This window comes from Homo sapiens, chromosome 5 (assembly GCF_000001405.40).
Source record: "Homo sapiens chromosome 5, GRCh38.p14 Primary Assembly".
Classification (NCBI taxonomy): domain Eukaryota; kingdom Metazoa; phylum Chordata; class Mammalia; order Primates; family Hominidae; genus Homo; species Homo sapiens.
In genome coordinates this window covers 75,698,401-75,715,847 of record NC_000005.10, presented here as the reverse complement: position 1 = coordinate 75,715,847, position 17,447 = coordinate 75,698,401, and the positions used below count along the sequence as shown (strand labels likewise).

General features: G+C 38.6%; 1 protein-coding gene and 1 pseudogene across 10 annotated transcripts in view; both read left to right on the top strand.

The window, feature by feature from the left end:
• The window catches only part of POC5 (POC5 centriolar protein), a 43,314-nt gene that overhangs the window by 1,590 nt on the left and 24,277 nt on the right, over nt 1–17,447 (top strand). For 5 of the 10 annotated variants that reach the window (XM_047416725.1, XM_005248436.2, XM_011543158.3 and 2 more), the window contains exons 2-5: nt 2,897–2,994; nt 7,973–8,111; nt 10,061–10,144; nt 13,038–13,243. In XM_047416725.1, the coding sequence (XP_047272681.1) occupies nt 2,911–2,994; nt 7,973–8,111; nt 10,061–10,144; nt 13,038–13,243 (513 nt within the window). In that variant the 5' untranslated portion in view covers nt 2,897–2,910. Of the gene's footprint in view, nt 1–2,896; nt 2,995–3,187; nt 3,242–3,415; nt 3,473–7,972; nt 8,112–10,060; nt 10,145–13,037; nt 13,244–17,447 lie in introns of those variants that run through there. The other 5 variants (XM_011543160.2, XM_024454363.2, XM_047416726.1 and 2 more) reach the window with 4 other exon arrangements.
• RNU6-680P (RNA, U6 small nuclear 680, pseudogene) lies at nt 6,249–6,353 on the top strand (annotated as a pseudogene).

The following is a 17,447-nucleotide window of genomic DNA, read 5'->3' as shown; positions in this document are numbered from 1 at the left end:
GACTGTTCTTCTCTTGCCCTTTAGATGTTAGTGGTTCTGGCTTTAACCCTCTTCTCATTCACAGTCGTAGTCCTTAACTCTATTAGGGCTATGGTCCCCTCTGAACGCATATTTAAAGCGAAAGATCTTCTTTCTAGAAAAATACACATTCACATTTATGATAAAAATATTGCATACGAGTCGGGTATAGGGACCTGATATGGTTAGGTCTTGTGTCCCCACTCAAATCCCATCTTCAATTGTAATCTCCACATGTAGGGGAAGGGAAGTGATTGGATTATAAGGGCGATTTCCCCCGTGCTGTTCTCATGATAGTGAATTCTCACGAGATCTGATGGTTTTATAAATGGTAGTTTTTCCTGCACTCTCTCACATACTGTCTCACCTGCCGCCATCTAAGATGTGCCTGCTTCCCCTTCTACCATGATTTTAAGTTTCCTGAGGCCTCCCCAGACATGCGGAACTGTGAGTCAATAAAAATTCTTTTATTTATAAATTACCCAGTTTTGGGCAGTTCTTTTTTTTTTTTTTTTTTTTTGAGACGGAGTCTCACTCTGTCGCCCAGGCTGGAGTGCAGCGGCGCGATCTTGGCTCACTATGAGCTCCGCCTCCCGGGTTCACGCCATTCTCCTGCCTCAGCCTCCCAAGTAGCTGGGACTACAGGCGCCCACCACCACGCCAGGCTAATTTTTTGTATTTAGTGGAGACGGGGTTTCACCGTGTTAGCTAGTATGGTCTTGATCTCCTGACCTCGTAATCCTCCCACCTCAGCCTCCCAAAGTGCTGGGATTGCAGGCATGAGCCACCGTGCCCGGCCTGGGCAGTTCTTTATAGCAGTTTGAAAAACGTACTAATACAGGACCTCAGGATAAGAACTTTTTCTCACATTCCTTTTTTATAGGTGGTCTCATCCATTCCCTTTTTTCAGCAGTTCCCATTATGCCAGTGATTCCTCAAACTGGATCTCCAACTTATACCTCCAGTGCGGCGCTCCCACAATGCTTAACTCCAGGAAACACCATTCACAGTGTAGCCATTGTGAATGGCAGTTCTTGGAGTAGCGCACTACGTAGCCAGTGTGACCACAGACTGCATACTTGCAGCTTTACCCTAGTGCCTCAGAGGCATCCTCACACCCAGCTCATCTGATATGGCACTCATTGTCCTTCCTCCCAACCTGCTCATCTTCCTACCTTCCTTGCCTTGGTGAGTGGCACTATCCATCTAGTTACCCAAACCGGAGATCTGGAAGCCACCAACAGTTCTTTTTAACCCCTTGATCTATTATTGATCATTTTCTCTTTCCATCACCATAACACAACTGTCTTGTAGTCATACCCTCCATCCCCTTCCCATTGCTACTTCCTAGACTTAGGTCATCATTTATCTTCTTAATTACTATCAAAGAGAACATTTATCTCTTAGACTACTGCAGTCAGCTCTCAATTGATCTCTCTCTCTTTTTTTTTTGAGACGGAGTCTCTGTCACCCAGGCTGGAGTGCAGTGGTGCGATCTTGGCTCACTGCAGCCTCCACCCCCAGGGTTCTAGCTATTCTCCTGCCTCAGCCTCCCAAGTAGCTGGGATTACAGGCACCTGCCACCAGGCTCGGCTAATTGTTTTGTATTTTTAATAGAGACAGGGTTTCGCCATGTTGGCCAGGCTGGTCTCAAACTCCTGACCTCAGGTGATCCACCTACCTCAGCCTCCCAAAGTGCTAGGATTACAGGCATGATTCACTGCACCCAGCCTGATCTCTCTTAATATCCAAATTCATCCTCAACGCTGCTGGAATGATCTTTCTGATCATGTAACTTTTAAAAAATATTTCAATAACTTGTCTAGAATAAACACCCAGATTTTTAATATGACAAGTTTTGACCTTCCATGATCTGGCTGCTCCTTACTTTTTGTTTCATCCTTAGCCAATCCTTTGCACCCATTGCTTTGTCCTTACCAAACTGCTTGCTGTTCGTGGCATACATGTCCATGGCTCTGTCTTTGCTTATATTGCTCTACTGCCTAGAATATCTACACCTGTGTTTATACCTTTTATCCATCTTTCAGGATGAGACCTACTCATCTTTCAGATCTCAACACCTGGGTCATCTTCTCTAAAAACTTTCTGTGCCTCCTTTCCTGCTTATTTACAGTCATGCAATCTTACCCCATGAAAAATAGCTACTCCTATCTCTCTACTTTGTATCTGTTATTTTAGGGCCTATCAGCAGTTTATTCATCAGTCGGTCACTTATATAATATACATGCCTGGCCCTCTCTACAGATTGTAAACTCCTTAAGAATGAGGACTTCATTTTACATTCCTCACCAATGTCTTACATATTACTGGTATTCAGATAGTTCGAATAGTCACTATTTGTTCTTTGAATAATTCGGTTACTTGTTACTAAAAGTACTTTTAATGATTTTTTGATTAGGACTTTCAACAAATTCTCTATGCATATATTTGATTCTGTTGTTCTGTATAAGCTCACTTTTCTTAAAATAATATTTCCAAAGGTAAGTTTCCCAAGAAGGGAATTTGCACAAATTGTTTGTTCTCTCTTGGTTCTGTGTCTTAGAGGAAAGTACACAGCACCCAGGTTGTCACACATTGCTCAAGAACAGTGATCACAATCTATTATGCTCAACAGGCCCCGCTGGGGATTTTTCTGAAGACCTGACTACGTTATAAACTCACTAATATTGGGACTGGGTCTTCAACTGTTTTTTGCCCAGTGATTTTTTGCCTGTAGGTACTCAATATGTTGAATGAATGATTTTAGCATATCACAGGAAGATTGCAGATTTGGATACTGTTGCACTTATATATATCTGGAAAGGATTTTATCTTAAATATCAAGGAAAAAAGCTAAAGTTAGCTTCTACTGTTTTAGAGCATTTGTGCAGAATGTCATCAGATGAGGAGAAATACTCACTTCCAGTTGTGCAAAATGACTCCAGTCGAGGCAGTTCTGTCTCTTCGAATCTTCAGGTAGGAAAAAATTTCTAAATTTACCATGACTTTTTTTATTTTAAACAAATGAATGTAAGGGAAAACTAGGATTTTTTAATAATTTTTTCATCCATTTACAAGGGAGTTTTTCAATTTATAATAATATCAAACTTCAGGAATTACTGTACACATTTTAGGAGTGACTTTACATTGTTTTAACTTTTCAGAAAATATTGATGAACTCTTCATACACTCTGTACAAAGGCTTCAACCAACACAGTAAGAGGTGAAACAAATGTTCAAGAAACATTTTTTTGTTTAAATTTTTTTCATTTTAGCTACCTCTCATGAATGCTACTTTCACTTTTAATGCAAATTAATACAATATCAAACCATCCAAAGTTCTAGAGCTCAAGATTCCCTTGTGTTCTACTTGCTGAGGTTTGGTCTCTGTTGTCACAACATTCAGTACAATCTGCTGCCCAGGACCTGGACATTGACAGATAAAATGAAGTGGGTCAGTTAACTACAGAGGGTGTGGTATTTACATGAAATGTTTTAAATTTCTCTTATTTCTAAATATTTCATCATCAAAAATATGGATTTAGATTTCTGGAGTAGATTTTAAATATGAGAATAATGACATGGTATATCTTAAATTTTACAGTTGTATTACTCAAGGGGAAAGGCTGTTTATGCCTAAGCATATGAAATTGTTATTGATTCTGTACGATATGAGAAAAGCTTTAGGAAAATATTTTATGAAACAAATTTGTTCCTTTAATCGAAATTATGGATTTCAAAATGGGGAAGGTATTGGGAAAATATCTGAATATTTACAGGATAAAACTAGTCTGGAGTTGTGGCAGAGCTTTTGCACCCTAGCCTTCCCTTTTGATGGTACCTGTCCCATGTAGTCCTCTCTTCAGGTGACAGTACTTCCTCCACCCTTCATCGCTGTCTGATTGAAACTTGAAGATAGAACTGATTAACTCATTTATACTAAAATGTAAACACCTTGTGAGCTCTCAAATTTCATTTCGTGAAGAGATAAAGCTTTAAATCAAAAGAATAACTCTCTAGAGTGGAATTTTAGAGAGACGGAAGAAGAACCTGCCAGAAATTATTTTGTGTTATTGTTTACCCACCTATAATGTAAGCTCAACTGAGAGTCTATTACTGTCAACTAATGTTCCTACTGGTTCTTGGACTGAAGTTGAAAGCCTCTCCATATTCCCTGTACATACAGTGTTATTACTTTGGGTTTCACTACTGGAAGCACTTCAAAATATAAATACAAAAAAAAATCTTAAAAATAACATAAAATACACATTTTTACATATGTAGTAAATATGTAAATCCAAACATTTAATACAAAAGCCCCTCATAAATAAATATTCCTCTTAAGGAACTTTTTTGTTACTCTCTTTTTATGCGAATGCTTCATAAGCCAGAAGGTGGTAAATGCTGAGGGATGGGCAGCATCCATAGTGCTTATACACTGAAAATTTCCTCTAACCACAGCTCCTATCAGCCAAGTTGCTCTGACTCTAATGGTTGAGGCATGGGTGGAGCTATATTTCAGGGTCATATCAATTCAGCTCTTGGGGGTTGGGGAGGGGGGCAAAATTACAAGTTTTGAATGTTAACAGAGGTTATGTTTGGCAATTAAGAAAGCCAATATTGTTTATTTTGATTCTTAATTTTAAATTTTATTTTTAAATAACTTATTTGGCTTGTGTCTACATATATGAAACTCTAAAATAGTCATTTAAATAACTGATTTTTTCTAAATGTTTTCTTGAAATAAGTTGGAATATATGGTCATGGAATACTATTGACATATACTTATTTATTTCCCCTTTAAGCCATAGCAATTGTGGTAAAATATATGAAATATATGAATATGTATGAAGTATATGATTTGAAATATGTGTTTGGATCTTTTTTTTCCTTCTCTTATCCAGAGCAGAAGTCAGACTAGGGAAGCCACAAGTGAAAGCCACTGACTTCCACTTCTCCCTCCGTTCCTACATGCTAGAGGTGGTGATAGGCTAACTCTGAGTAGAGCTGACTTGGCTAAATCTAGTTGCAACTGACACCACAGCAGGAACACTATAAAAAGTTTATGAACCTCACAATATAAGATCACCATCATATTAATCTGCTCAGGCTACCATAACAAAGTACCATAAATTCATAGGCTTAAACAACAGACATTTATCTTCTCACAGTTCTGGAGGCTAGAAGTCCCAGATCACAGCCCAAAAGGGTCAGTTTCTGGTGAGGGCTCTCTTTGTGGATTGCAGACAGGTGCCTTCTTGCTGTATCTTTGCATGGCCTTTCCTCAGTACAGTATGTGCAGGTGGGAGGAGAGCATGCACAAGGTTCCTGGTGTCTCTTCTGATGAGTACATTAATGCTCTCAGGGCCCCAACCAATGACCTTATTTAACCTTAATTACTTTCTTGAAGGCCTCATCTCCAAATACAGCCACACTGGGTGTTAGGGCTTCAGCATATGAATTTTGAGGGGACACAAACATTCAGACTCCGTAACTCCATAACAGCCACACTTTTATATATTCTTAGCCAAAATCAAAAGTATATTTTGGGTGTTTGGGAAGTATAATAGTGCTTTAACAGAAACCAAGTAAGGGTGGTTTAAGTGGGTTCCTTACAGTTTCATTCTGTCTCTCATAAATTCTGAGCTGATACGTAGTCCTGAGATCATCTGAGGACCCAATCCCTTCTCTCTTTTTGCTGTACCATGAGCTGTTGACCGTGTTTGCATTGTCAGGTACTGGTGCACTGACAGTGTACTACCACTAGCCCATGGGAAGAGGGGACCAGCAGGAAGCAGCTTCGTTTTTAAGGACTTCACCTAAAGTTGTACACATCATTTCCAGTTGAATCCCATAGACCAGGTCTCTTGGCCACACCTAGCTGCAGAGGAGGCTGGGAAATGTAGCTGGGTGGCCATTTGCCCAAATCAAACCCTGGGGCTTTATTAAGTTAAAGAAATTAAAAAGAAATGGATGCTGCTGGATTAGTTACAGTCTCTATGCACTTGAAATTTTATGTATTAGTTTATTAGGACCAACACACACATTCAGGTTTATAGGAACTAGTAAATATCTTGTGCATGGCCCCAATTTATTAAGCTCTTTGGGAATTTCTTTTTGATAATTAGAAAACCAATATGCTTTGGGAAGTGTATTTTTTTTAACCTAAGGATATTTAAATCTATTTAAATAATCATAGTTACTTTTGTCAATGTAAAAATTAAATGTTGGTGCTCGCTTCAGCAGCACATATACTAAAACTGGAGCCACACAGAAAATTAGCATGGACCCTGTGCAAGGAGGACATGCAAATTTGTGAAATGTTCTATAATTTTTTAATAATTTTTTTAAGTTTTATAATATAAAAAAAGTTGTATTGTGATATCCTAAATGATTTGTTTCCTAATAAGAGCCTTCTGTCTCAGTGATAACCATTATGTAAAATACTGATTTTTATTTGCTACTAGGAAATGTAAGTTTAAAACTCAGACAGATGTTTATTCTCATGAAGGTGACATCACTAACAAAAATGGTTGATTATAGCAATATGAAGGAGATTCTGGTTGAATTTTCTAAAGATTTTCTCTTTGAAATATCTCTCTCTTCCTCTTCTGTCGTTAGCCTTAAAATATATAAAAATCAGTATTTGCTATACCTAATGTTTACTGCGTGTAAGTATCTATGTTAAATATGTGAATCAGGCCGGGTGCAGTGGCTCACGCCTGTAATCCTAGCACTTTGGGGGTCCAGGGCTGTGGATCAAGAGGTCAGGAGTTCAAGACCAGCCTGACCAACATGGTGAAACCCCATCTCTACTAAAAGTACAAAAATTAGGTGGGCGTGGTGGTACAAACCTGTAATTCCAGATACTCAGGAGGCTGAGGCAGGAGAATCGCTTGAACCTGGGAGGCAGAGGTTGCGGTGAGCCAAGACCATGCCACTGCACTCCAGCCTGGGCTACAGAGCAAGACTCCATCTCAAAAAAAAAGAAGAAAAAAATTGTAAATCAAGAAATCAAGGTTGAAGCGCAAACCAGGTCACTCTTGTACATGTAATTGCCATAAAAGCTAGCAGTTTTCAAATATATAAAAGCATAAGCTTTTTTAAAAAACAATTTTACTTAAAATTCCGATATAAAAAAGCAGATGAAAACAAAACTACAGTAGTATAGATTTATTTTGTAAATTCAAATGCAATCAGTTAATAAAAACAGTTAAGCTGCCTTGATAAATGTACATTTGAAATTGGGGGGTAATAGAAGGCCATTGCAGTTTTATAAACTTAAGTATCCAGTTTGCTTCTATATTTTGTTTAGGTTACATAATTTTTTTTCAGTTCCAAAAATGGTATCTTTTTAATAGCATGTCTCATCTTCAATTAAACCAATCTGACATATAAAATTAAGTGATAGAAAATTTTTGATTCAGTGTTGAGTCACTCACAGAACCTTATCACCTCTTCATACTTTGTTGTTGTTTCCCCAGAGACAGGATCTTGCTCTGTCACCCAGGCTGGGGTGCAGTGGTGCCATCTTGTCTTACTGCAGCTTCCAGTTCCTAGGCTTAAGTGGTCCTCCTGCCTCAGCCTCCTGAGTAGCTACAACTACAGGCACACACCACCACACCTAGCAAATTTTTGTAAAAAATTTATTGTAGAGATGAGGTCTCACTTTGTTGCTCAGGCTTCAAGCCATCCTCCTGCCTCAGCCTCTCAAAGTGCTGAGTTTACAGGCATGAGTCACTGCACCCAGCCCTCTTCAAACTGTTAATCATAAATATAAAAATCACACAAGAAGCACTCGAGGAACTCAAGCTTGGAATAAGTGGTAAAACTTTGTAATATAATAAGCATGGGACTCTATTATGGTAATTAAATTTCTTTAAAACAAATTCAGTTGAATATATTATAACATTGTAACTGTTACACTACATTATTGATTATTGGCCTCTCTTAGGAAGAATATGAAGAACTGCTTCATTATGCTATAGTGACTCCAAATATTGAACCCTGTGCTTCACAGTCATCTCATCCTAAGGGAGAATTGGTGCCAGATGTCAGAATTTCTACAATTCATGATATTCTTCATAGTCAAGGTTATATATATTTTTCAAGATATCTCTTAATTTAAAATATTACTGAGTTTATTAATGATACTGACAGGATTGTGAAAATGCCTGTCCAGATCAGTGATTCTTCTCAACCATTTATGTGTATTAGTATCATCTAGGGGAGCTTTTTACATTTTAATATATTATTCCTGACTCTCGTGTGACAGCTTGATTTTTCTTTGAACTTCATTTGACTCTTACTTTTATGAAGAATAATAAAGTTGAAGCAATGCTATGGCAACTGCATGGCTTTTTGGTATGTTGTATCTCAGTACTTGTTCCAACAGTTTTATGCCAGGATTAACCTGAAAACTAAATGCCCAAGACTAAAATTAAAGATGGTAACCCTGAGAGTCTCTTAAATTACTTTACAAACCTCATGCTAGTGCTTTATCAGCAGTATTTATATGGGCATGGAGGACTGTTTGAATAATTATCACAAGGTGAACCCATCTGTGGACCATGTCAGCAACAGAACTGAAAGCTACTATAAACCAGGATGTGTGTTGATAGATGAGTGAAAAGTGGAGAAAAGAGGATAAAGCTCCTTTTACCTCCATTCCTTATTCAGGTGAAGACAACATCCCAAACTCTAAATAAATGTTCTTTCAAAGGGCACAGAAAGCCTTCCTAAAACAGTCCTGATAAGGACCAGTTATCACACTATAGGCGTAACTCCAAGGATCCCTGTCCTTGAAGGCGCATGACATAGCCTACTCAGAGGCCAAAGGCTCCTGGGCTTCTGCTAAGTCATAGCTCTAGTGTCTGTTGTCTCTCATTCTCTGTAGACGTGGATTTTTCACTGTTCCTCTGTCTTTGGCCTGTTGCAGTGGAACAACAAACAGGACCACAGGATGAGAGCCTTAAAATACAGGCCAGGCAGTGGCTCATGCTTGTAATGCCAGTACTTTCAGAGGCTGAGGCAGGAGGATTGCTTGAGCCCAGGAGGTTGAGACAAGCCTAGGCAACATAGCAAAACCCTAGCTCTACAAAAAAATTAGCCGGGCAGAGCAGCCTATAGTCCCAGCACCTTGGGAGGCTGGGGTGGGAGGATTGCATGAGCTCAGGAGTTCAAGGCTGCAGTGTGCCATGATTATGCCACTGCACTTCAGCCTAGGCAACAGAGCAAGACTCTGTTTAAAAAAAAAAAAAGAAAAAACTTTCGAGATGCTGTAGTCAACAGTTCAAGGTAATCATCTGGGATTTAAGACCATTGTTCTTTTCTCTTATGTAAGATAGCATTTATTTATTCTCTGCCATTTCCAAAAAGGATTTGAGATTAAAACATACGTTATATAGTAAGTTTAGATATCCTTTAGTCATCTTGATTCACAAGTAGACTTTGTTAAAGTCTTCTATGTAAATTCATCATCCCACATTCTCTTTATTCTTGGTATCTCAGTTGCTTGATAGAAGGCATGGTATGTGGAAATTGGCAAAGTATGTGTAAGCCTCTAACAGTCATTCTTGAGAGGTTTTTCCCAGTTTCCTTTTTGCCATCTGTTGACTACAGGTTCCTGAAGTGGAAGCAAATGTTTTGGGGGAGCCAGTGCCACTTGAGTTTGATTGTGGCTAGTGAAAAGCAGCGGGCCTCTGGAAATACCCAGTGTCATAAGAGAGCAGATCCTTTTCTAAGTTCTAATGTCATTCACCCACTTATTCTCTTAGTGTGAATTGAATGCTATAGTAGACTACATTATCTCTCATCTATATTTGGTGCATAAGTTGGAGCTTATCAATGATATAGTAAGTCTTTTTCTAGTCTCAGATTTTTATCTGTTCTTGTCCTTTGTTTTAGTGTTCCTATATCCCCAGCATGTTGTATTTTGTTTGTTCTAAAATATTATGTACTGCTACCTTCTTAAATTATGTGTGATTAGACATTTTATTTAAGAGTGGTTCAGTTTAATTTTAAAAAGCTTTCTTTTTGGCAGGAAATAACTCTGAAGTAAGAGAAACTGCAATAGAAGTTGGAAAAGGATGTGATTTCCATATTTCAAGTCATTCAAAGACAGATGGTATGATTTTTCTTTAGCTTATTTGTATTAATATACAACATTTTGTGGTTTGATGAATATTATCTATGTAGTAAGAGGAATAATTTCAGCATATTATTTATTAGCAGGATTTTAAAATGCTATTATTGCTAATTTAAGTGATAATATTTAAAATAATTTGATAAGATACCAAAATAGTACAATTAAGACAGGTCAATGCATTATAGTGTGTAGTATCCTTTCTTAAAATTGCTAAGTTAGAGGGCAAGTCTTTTAAAAGATTTAATGGGATATTAGATAGTTTGGCCAATTCAAGTTTTTATGTAAACCAATGCACTGTTTCCCAACTTTCAGGCATTTGCGTACCAGTGTAAGGATTTTCATCCTATCTTTATGCCACCTGTTACGCCATCATTTAGTGTTTTTCTTTAAAAGTCTGCTTTGTCTTTGTTAAAAGGGAAGATTAGCAAATCTTAAAGAGGCTTTTTGGGGGGATTGTTTTTTGTATTTTTTTAATTTTGTTTGGTTTTTGAGACAGGATCTCACTCTGTCACCCAGGCTAGAGTGCAGGGCTCCCTGCAGCCTCAACCTCCTTGGCTCAAGTGATCCTCCTGCCTCAGCGCCCCCTCCCCCAGTAGCTGGGACTACAGGCACATGCCACCACACCTAGCTAATTTTTAACTTTTCTGTAGAGGTGGGATCTCACTATGTTGCCCAGGCTGGTCTCAAACTCCTAAGATCAAGTGATCCACTTGCCCTGGCCTCCCAAAGTGCTGGGATTACAGGCATGAGCCACCATGCCTGGCTTTAAAGAACTTTTAAAAGCATACTAGAACTGGACTGAGACTTTTTTCTTGACTAGTCAGAATAATTAATTAAAATGTAATATTGTGGAATATTTTTCTATTTAATGTTATTTAATGTGGTAACCATTTTTGTCACCACGTAAGTAATGCCTCTAACCCTTAGTTTCCTCACTTGTAAGTAGAAGTCTTAGGCATCATAATCTCTGACAGCCCTTACAAGTTCTGAAGTTACATGATTTGATTTCTTAAAAGGTAAGTGTTGAGATATTTTTTAAATTGAAAAGCAGAGTCTATCGCTTTCTTTGTGAGTACAGATCTAGTTGGCAAAATCAAGTAAAAGAGAATATTCATGTACATTGTCATTCCACCTGTTCTTTGGGTTTCTTAACCATCCTCAGAACATGCAGATAGCATTTCATAGTATGACTAGCCCAGACCTTGTGTTATGTTTTTTATACCAAACACACATGTTAGGGAATTATTTTCCCTTTTGCAAAGAAGTCTTTACATAAGCAGAATATGTTTGCAAAAAAACTAAAATCTTACAAATTTTAAAAAAGAATTCTTGAAAGATTTAAGTAACAAGTTCTCTATCATAGATTCATCTTTCCTTCAGTAGGAAGAAAGCTCTTCCATCTTTGTTATTAGGATGCTCGTAGCAAATGTGAGATATGTGACAAGTGATGACAGATAGTCTCTAATTCCAGCATAAATATGTGAGAAAATATTAACTTTTCTTTCTCAGTGCTTTTTTTTTTTTTTTTTGAGACAGAGTCTCGCTCTATCACCCAGGCTAGAGTGGGTGGCACGATCTCGGCTCACTGAAACCTCTGCTTCCCGGGTTCAAGCAATTCTCCTGCCTCAGCCTCCCAAGTAGCTGGGACTATAGGCACGTGCCACCATGCCTGGCTAATTTTTTGTATTTTTAGTAGAGATAGGGTTTTACCATGTTGGCCAGGCTGGTCTTGAACTCCTGACCTCATGATTCGCCCACTTCAGCCTCCCAAAGTGCGGGGATTACAGGCATGAGCCACCGTGCCCAGCCTTTCAGTGCTTTTTTAGAAATAGATACCTGTTCTCTTTAGGGCCCTGACTCTCCCCCACCTCCCTGGATATGGGCAGGGGATGAGCGTTTTATATATATGCACATACATATAGAGATGTGTACATTTCTCACCTCTACATTGAAGCCTAACAGTGTACTTAACAACAGAGTATCTGCAAAACTAAATTATGAGTCTCTTTCTACTTAAATTGTTTAATTTTAATAGGTTTTTTGTTTGTTTTTGTTTTTGGAGACAGAGTCTCATTCTGTCACAGGCTGGAGTGCAGTGGCACGATCTCGGCTCACTGCAACCTCTGCCTCCCTGGTTCAAGCAATTCTCCTGCCTCAGCTTCCCGAGTAGCTGGGACTATAGGTGCGTGCCACCACACCCAGCTAATTTTTGTATTTTTAGTAGAGATGGGGTTTCACCTTGTTGGCCAGGATGGTCTCAATCTCTGGACCTCATGATTCACCCGCCTCGGCCTCCCAAAGTGCTAGGATTACAGGCATGAGCCACCGCGCCCGGCCGAATTTTAATAGTATTAAAACCAATCCCAGTGTTAAACTTACAGAGTAATATTGACCTATATACAACCACACTGACCTTGGTCAATTACTTAACTTTTTCTGAACCTCAGTTTCTCATCAGTAAAATGGAGATAATAATACCTATTTTTTAGGGTAGCATGTGTTATGAGAACTAATCTTTATAATGTTTTTATTACAGAAACAGAAAGCACTTCATTAATGGTGATATGATACAGATGATGATAGTTTCACCTCAGGCTGGACCTGGATATATGAAGGATCCTTATCTGGGATAGAGGTCATTTGCTGGGAGAGAAGGGATTGGGAGTATAGGAGGTATCTCATGCCAGTCTGTGCTAAATCACTGACAATACTGAAATTAAAAATAGATTAAGGTACACCTGAAAGGTAGTTTCTCTGCATTTTTTCTCAGCCTCCATAAGTAGCAGACGTCTTTTAGCCTTCCAGTATGGTTCCTTACCAACTTGAGTTATTTTCAATTTGGCTTGACAGCTACAACTTTTCTTTTATTCAGAGTCATCACCAGTGTTATCGCCAAGGAAGCCTTCTCACCCAGTCATGGATTTTTTCAGTTCACATCTTTTAGCTGACTCTTCCTCACCAGCAACAAATTCTAGTCATACAGATGCCCATGAAATACTTGTGAGCGATTTTCTTGTTTCTGATGAAAACCTTCAGAAGATGGAAAATGTGCTTGATCTTTGGAGTTCAGGTCTTAAGGTACGGTACAGCAGTTCTTCAATTACAGTTGTTTAGTATGTAATGTAATAGTTTTACTCTCATTTATACTGTTTTGTTTTTTTGAGTTAAACTTTCTAAAAATCTTTTGTTTCCTGAGATCAGTTTAGTGTCTTAAGTCTTGCTTCTCAATCTTTAATGTACTTACGAATCATAGCGGGAGCCTGTTAAACTACAGCTTCATATGCAGTAGGTCTTCAGCAGGGCCTAAGATCGTGCTTCTTTTTTTCTTTTTTTGACTCTTGTTTGTTTGTTTGATTTTACTTTAAGTTCTGGGATACATGTGGTGAACATGCAGGTTTGTTACATAGGTATACATGTGCCATGGTGGTTTGCTGCACCTATCAACCTGTCATCTAGGTTTCAAGCCCCACATGCATTAGGTATGTGTCCTAATGCTCTCCCTCCCCTTACCCTCCACCCCCTGACAGGCCCCGGTGTGTGATGTTCCCCTCCATGTGTCCATGTGTTCTCATTTCTGTCAAGCTCCCAGGTGTTGCTACTGGTTCAGAAACTGTACTTTGAGTTGCCAGGTTTTAAGTGGTTGCTGGAACGGTTCTACATGCTCCATTGAATTTCACAGATACTTTGAATGGCTCAGCCTGTGTGTAACTGAGACATACTGTGCCTTTACCATATCGTAGTTGTGACTAATAGAAATGTCTCCTTTTATGCAATAACGAAAGATCCAATTTTAGCAATGGATATTCATTTTATAGCCACTCCTATAGCAACTATGATGTGTAAGTGATAAAACTATAAAAGTTGATTTTTATTTTGATACTACTGGCCTTTAAGTAAAACAAAGTATTGCAGAAATAGTAAGTGGGTTTTATTTATTTATTTATTTATTTATTTTTATTATTATTATACTTTAAGTTTTAGGGTACATGTACACAATGTGCAGGTTAGTTACATATGTATACATGTGCCATGCTGGTGCGCTGCACCCACTAACTCATCATCTAGCATTAGGTATATCTCCCAATGCTATCCCTCCCCCCTCCCCCCACCCAACAACAGTCCCCAGAGTGTGATGTTCCCCTTCCTGTGTCCATGTGTTCTCCTTGTTCAATTCCCACCTATCAGTGAGAATATGCGGTGTTGGGTTTTTTGTTCTTGCGATAGTTTACTGAGAATGATGATTTCCAGTTTCATCCATGTCCCTACAAAGGACATGAACTCATCATTTTTTATGGCTGCATAGTATTCCATGGTGTATATGTGCCACATTTTCTTAATCCAGTCTATCATTGTTGGACATTTGGGTTGGTTCCAAGTCTTTGCTATTGTGAATAATGCCGCAATAAACATACGTGTGCATGTGTCTTTATAGCCGCATGATTTATAGTCCTTTGGGTATATACCCCGTAATGGGATGGCTGGGTCAAATGGTATTTGTAGTTCTAGATCCCTGAGGAATCGCCACACTGACTTCCACAATGGTTGAACTAGTTTACAGTCCCACCAACAGTGTAAAAGTGTTCCTATTTCTCCACATCCTCTCCAGCACCTGTTGTTTCCTGACTTTTTAATGATTGCCATTCTAACTGGTGTGAGATGGTATCTCATTGTGGTTTTGATTTGCATTTCTCTGATGGCCAGTGATGGTGAGCATTTTTTCATGTGTTTTTTGGCTGCATAAATGTCTTCTTTTGAGAAGTGTCTGTTCATGTCCTTTGCCCACTTTTTGATGGGGTTGTTTGCTTTTTTCTTGTAAATTTGTTTGAGTTCATTGTAGATTCTGGATATTAGCCCTTTGTCAGATAAGTAGGTTGTGAAAATTTTCTCCCGTTTTGTAGGTTGCCTGTTCACTCTGATGGTAGTTTGTTTTGCTGTGCAGAAGCTCTTTAGTTTAATTAGATCCCATTTGTCAATTTTGGCTTTTGTTGCCATTGCTTTTGGTGTTTTAGACATGAAGTCCTTGCCCATGCCTGTGTCCTGAATGGTAATGCCTAGGTTTTCTTCTAGGGTTTTTATGGTTTTAGGTCTAACATTTAAGTCTTTAATCCATCTTGAATTGATTTTTGTATAAGGTGTAAGGAAGGGATCCAGTTTCAGCTTTCTACATATGGCTAGCCAGTTTTCCCAGCACCATTTATTAAATAGGGAATCCTTTCCTCATTGCTTGTTTTTCTCAGGTTTGTCAAAGATCAGATAGTTGTAGATAAGCGGCATTATTTCTGAGGGCTCTGTTCTGTTCCATTGATCTATATCTCTGTTTTGGTACCAGTACCATGCTGTTTTGGTTACTGTAGCCTTGTAGTATAGTTTGAAGTCAGGTAGTGTGATGCCTCCAGCTTTGTTCTTTTGGCTCAGGATTGACTTGGTGATGCGGGCTCTTTTTTGGTTCCATATGAACTTTAAAGTAGTTTTTTCCAATTCTGTGAAGAAAGTCATTGGTAGCTTGATGGGGATGGCATTGAATCTGTAAATTACCTTGGGCAGTATGGCCATTTTCACGATACTGACTCTTCCTACCCATGAGCATGGAATGTTCTTCCATTTGTTTGTATCCTCTTTTATTTCCTTGAGCAGTGGTCTGTAGTTCTCCTTGAAGAGGTCCTTCCCATCCCTTGTAAGTTGGATTCCTAGGTATTTTATTCTCTTTGAAGCAATTATGAATGGGAGTTCACTCATGATTTGGCTCTCTGTTTGTCTGTTGTTGATGTATAAGAATGCTTGTGATTTTTGTACATTGATTTTGTATCCTGAGACTTTGCTGAAGTTGCTTATCAGCTTAAGGAGATTTTGGGCTGAGACAATGGGGTTTTCTAGATATACAATCATGTCGTCTGCAAACAGGGAGAATTTGACTTCCTCTTTTCCTAATTGAATACCCTTTATTTCCTTCTCCTGCCTGATTGCCCTGGCCAGAACTTCCAACACTATGTTGAATAGGAGTGGTGAGAGAGGGCATCCCTGTCTTGTACCAGTTTTCAAAGGGAATGCTTCCAGTTTTTGCCCATTCAGTATGATATTGGCTGTGGGTTTGTCATAGATAGCTCTTATTATTTTGAGATACATCCCATCAATACCTAATTTATTGAGAGATTTTAGCATGAAGGGTTGTTGAATTTTGTCAAAGGCCTTTTCTGCATCTATTGAGATAATCATGTGGTTTTTGTCTTTGGTTCTGTTTATATGCTGGATTACATTATTGATTTGTGTATATTGAACCAGCCTTGCATCCCAGGGATGAAGCCCACTTGATCATGGTGGATAAGCTTTTTGATGTGCTGCTGGATTCGGTTTGCCAGTATTTTGTTGAGGATTTTTGCATCAATGTTCATCAAGGATATTGGTCTAAAATTCTCTTTTTTGGTTGTGTCTCTGCCCGGCTTTGGTATCAGGATGATGTTGGCCTCATAAAATGAGTTAGGGAGGATTCCCTCTTTTTCTATTGATTGGAATAGTTTCAGAAGGAATGGTACCAGTTCTTCCTTGTACCTCTGGTAGAATTCAGCTGTGAATCCATCTGGTCCTGGACTCTTTTTCATTGGTAAGCTATTGATTATTGCCACAATATCAGCTCCTGTTATTGGTCTATTCAGAGATTCAACTTCTTCCTGGTTTAGTCTTGGGAGAGTGTATGTGTCGAGGAATTTATCCATTTCTTCTAGATTTTCTAGTTTATTTGCATAGAGGTGTTTGTAGTATTCTCTGATGGTACTTTGTATTTCTGTGGGATTGGTGGTGATATCCCCTTTATCATTTTTTATTGCATCTATTTGATTCTTCTCGCTTTTCTTCTTTATTAGTCTTGCTAGCAGTCTATCAATTTTGTTCATCCTTTCAAAAAACCAGCTCCTGGATTCATTAATTTTTTGAAGGGTTTTTTGTGTCTCTATTTCCTTCAGTTCTGCTCTGATTTTAGTTATTTCTTGCCTTCTGCTAGCTTTTGAATGTGTTTGCTCTTGCTTTTCTAGTTCTTTTAATTGTGAAGTTAGGGTGTCAATTTTGGATCTTTCCTCCTTTCTCTTGTGGGCATTTAGTGCTATAAATTTCCCTCTACACACTGCATTGAATGTGTCCCAGAGATCCTGGTATGATGTGTCTTTGTTCTCGGTGGTTTCAAAGAACATCTTTATTTCTGCCTTCATTTCATTATGTACCCAGTAGTCATTCAGGAGCAGGTTGTTCAGTTTCCATGCAGTTGAGCGGTTTTGAGTGAGATTCTTAATCC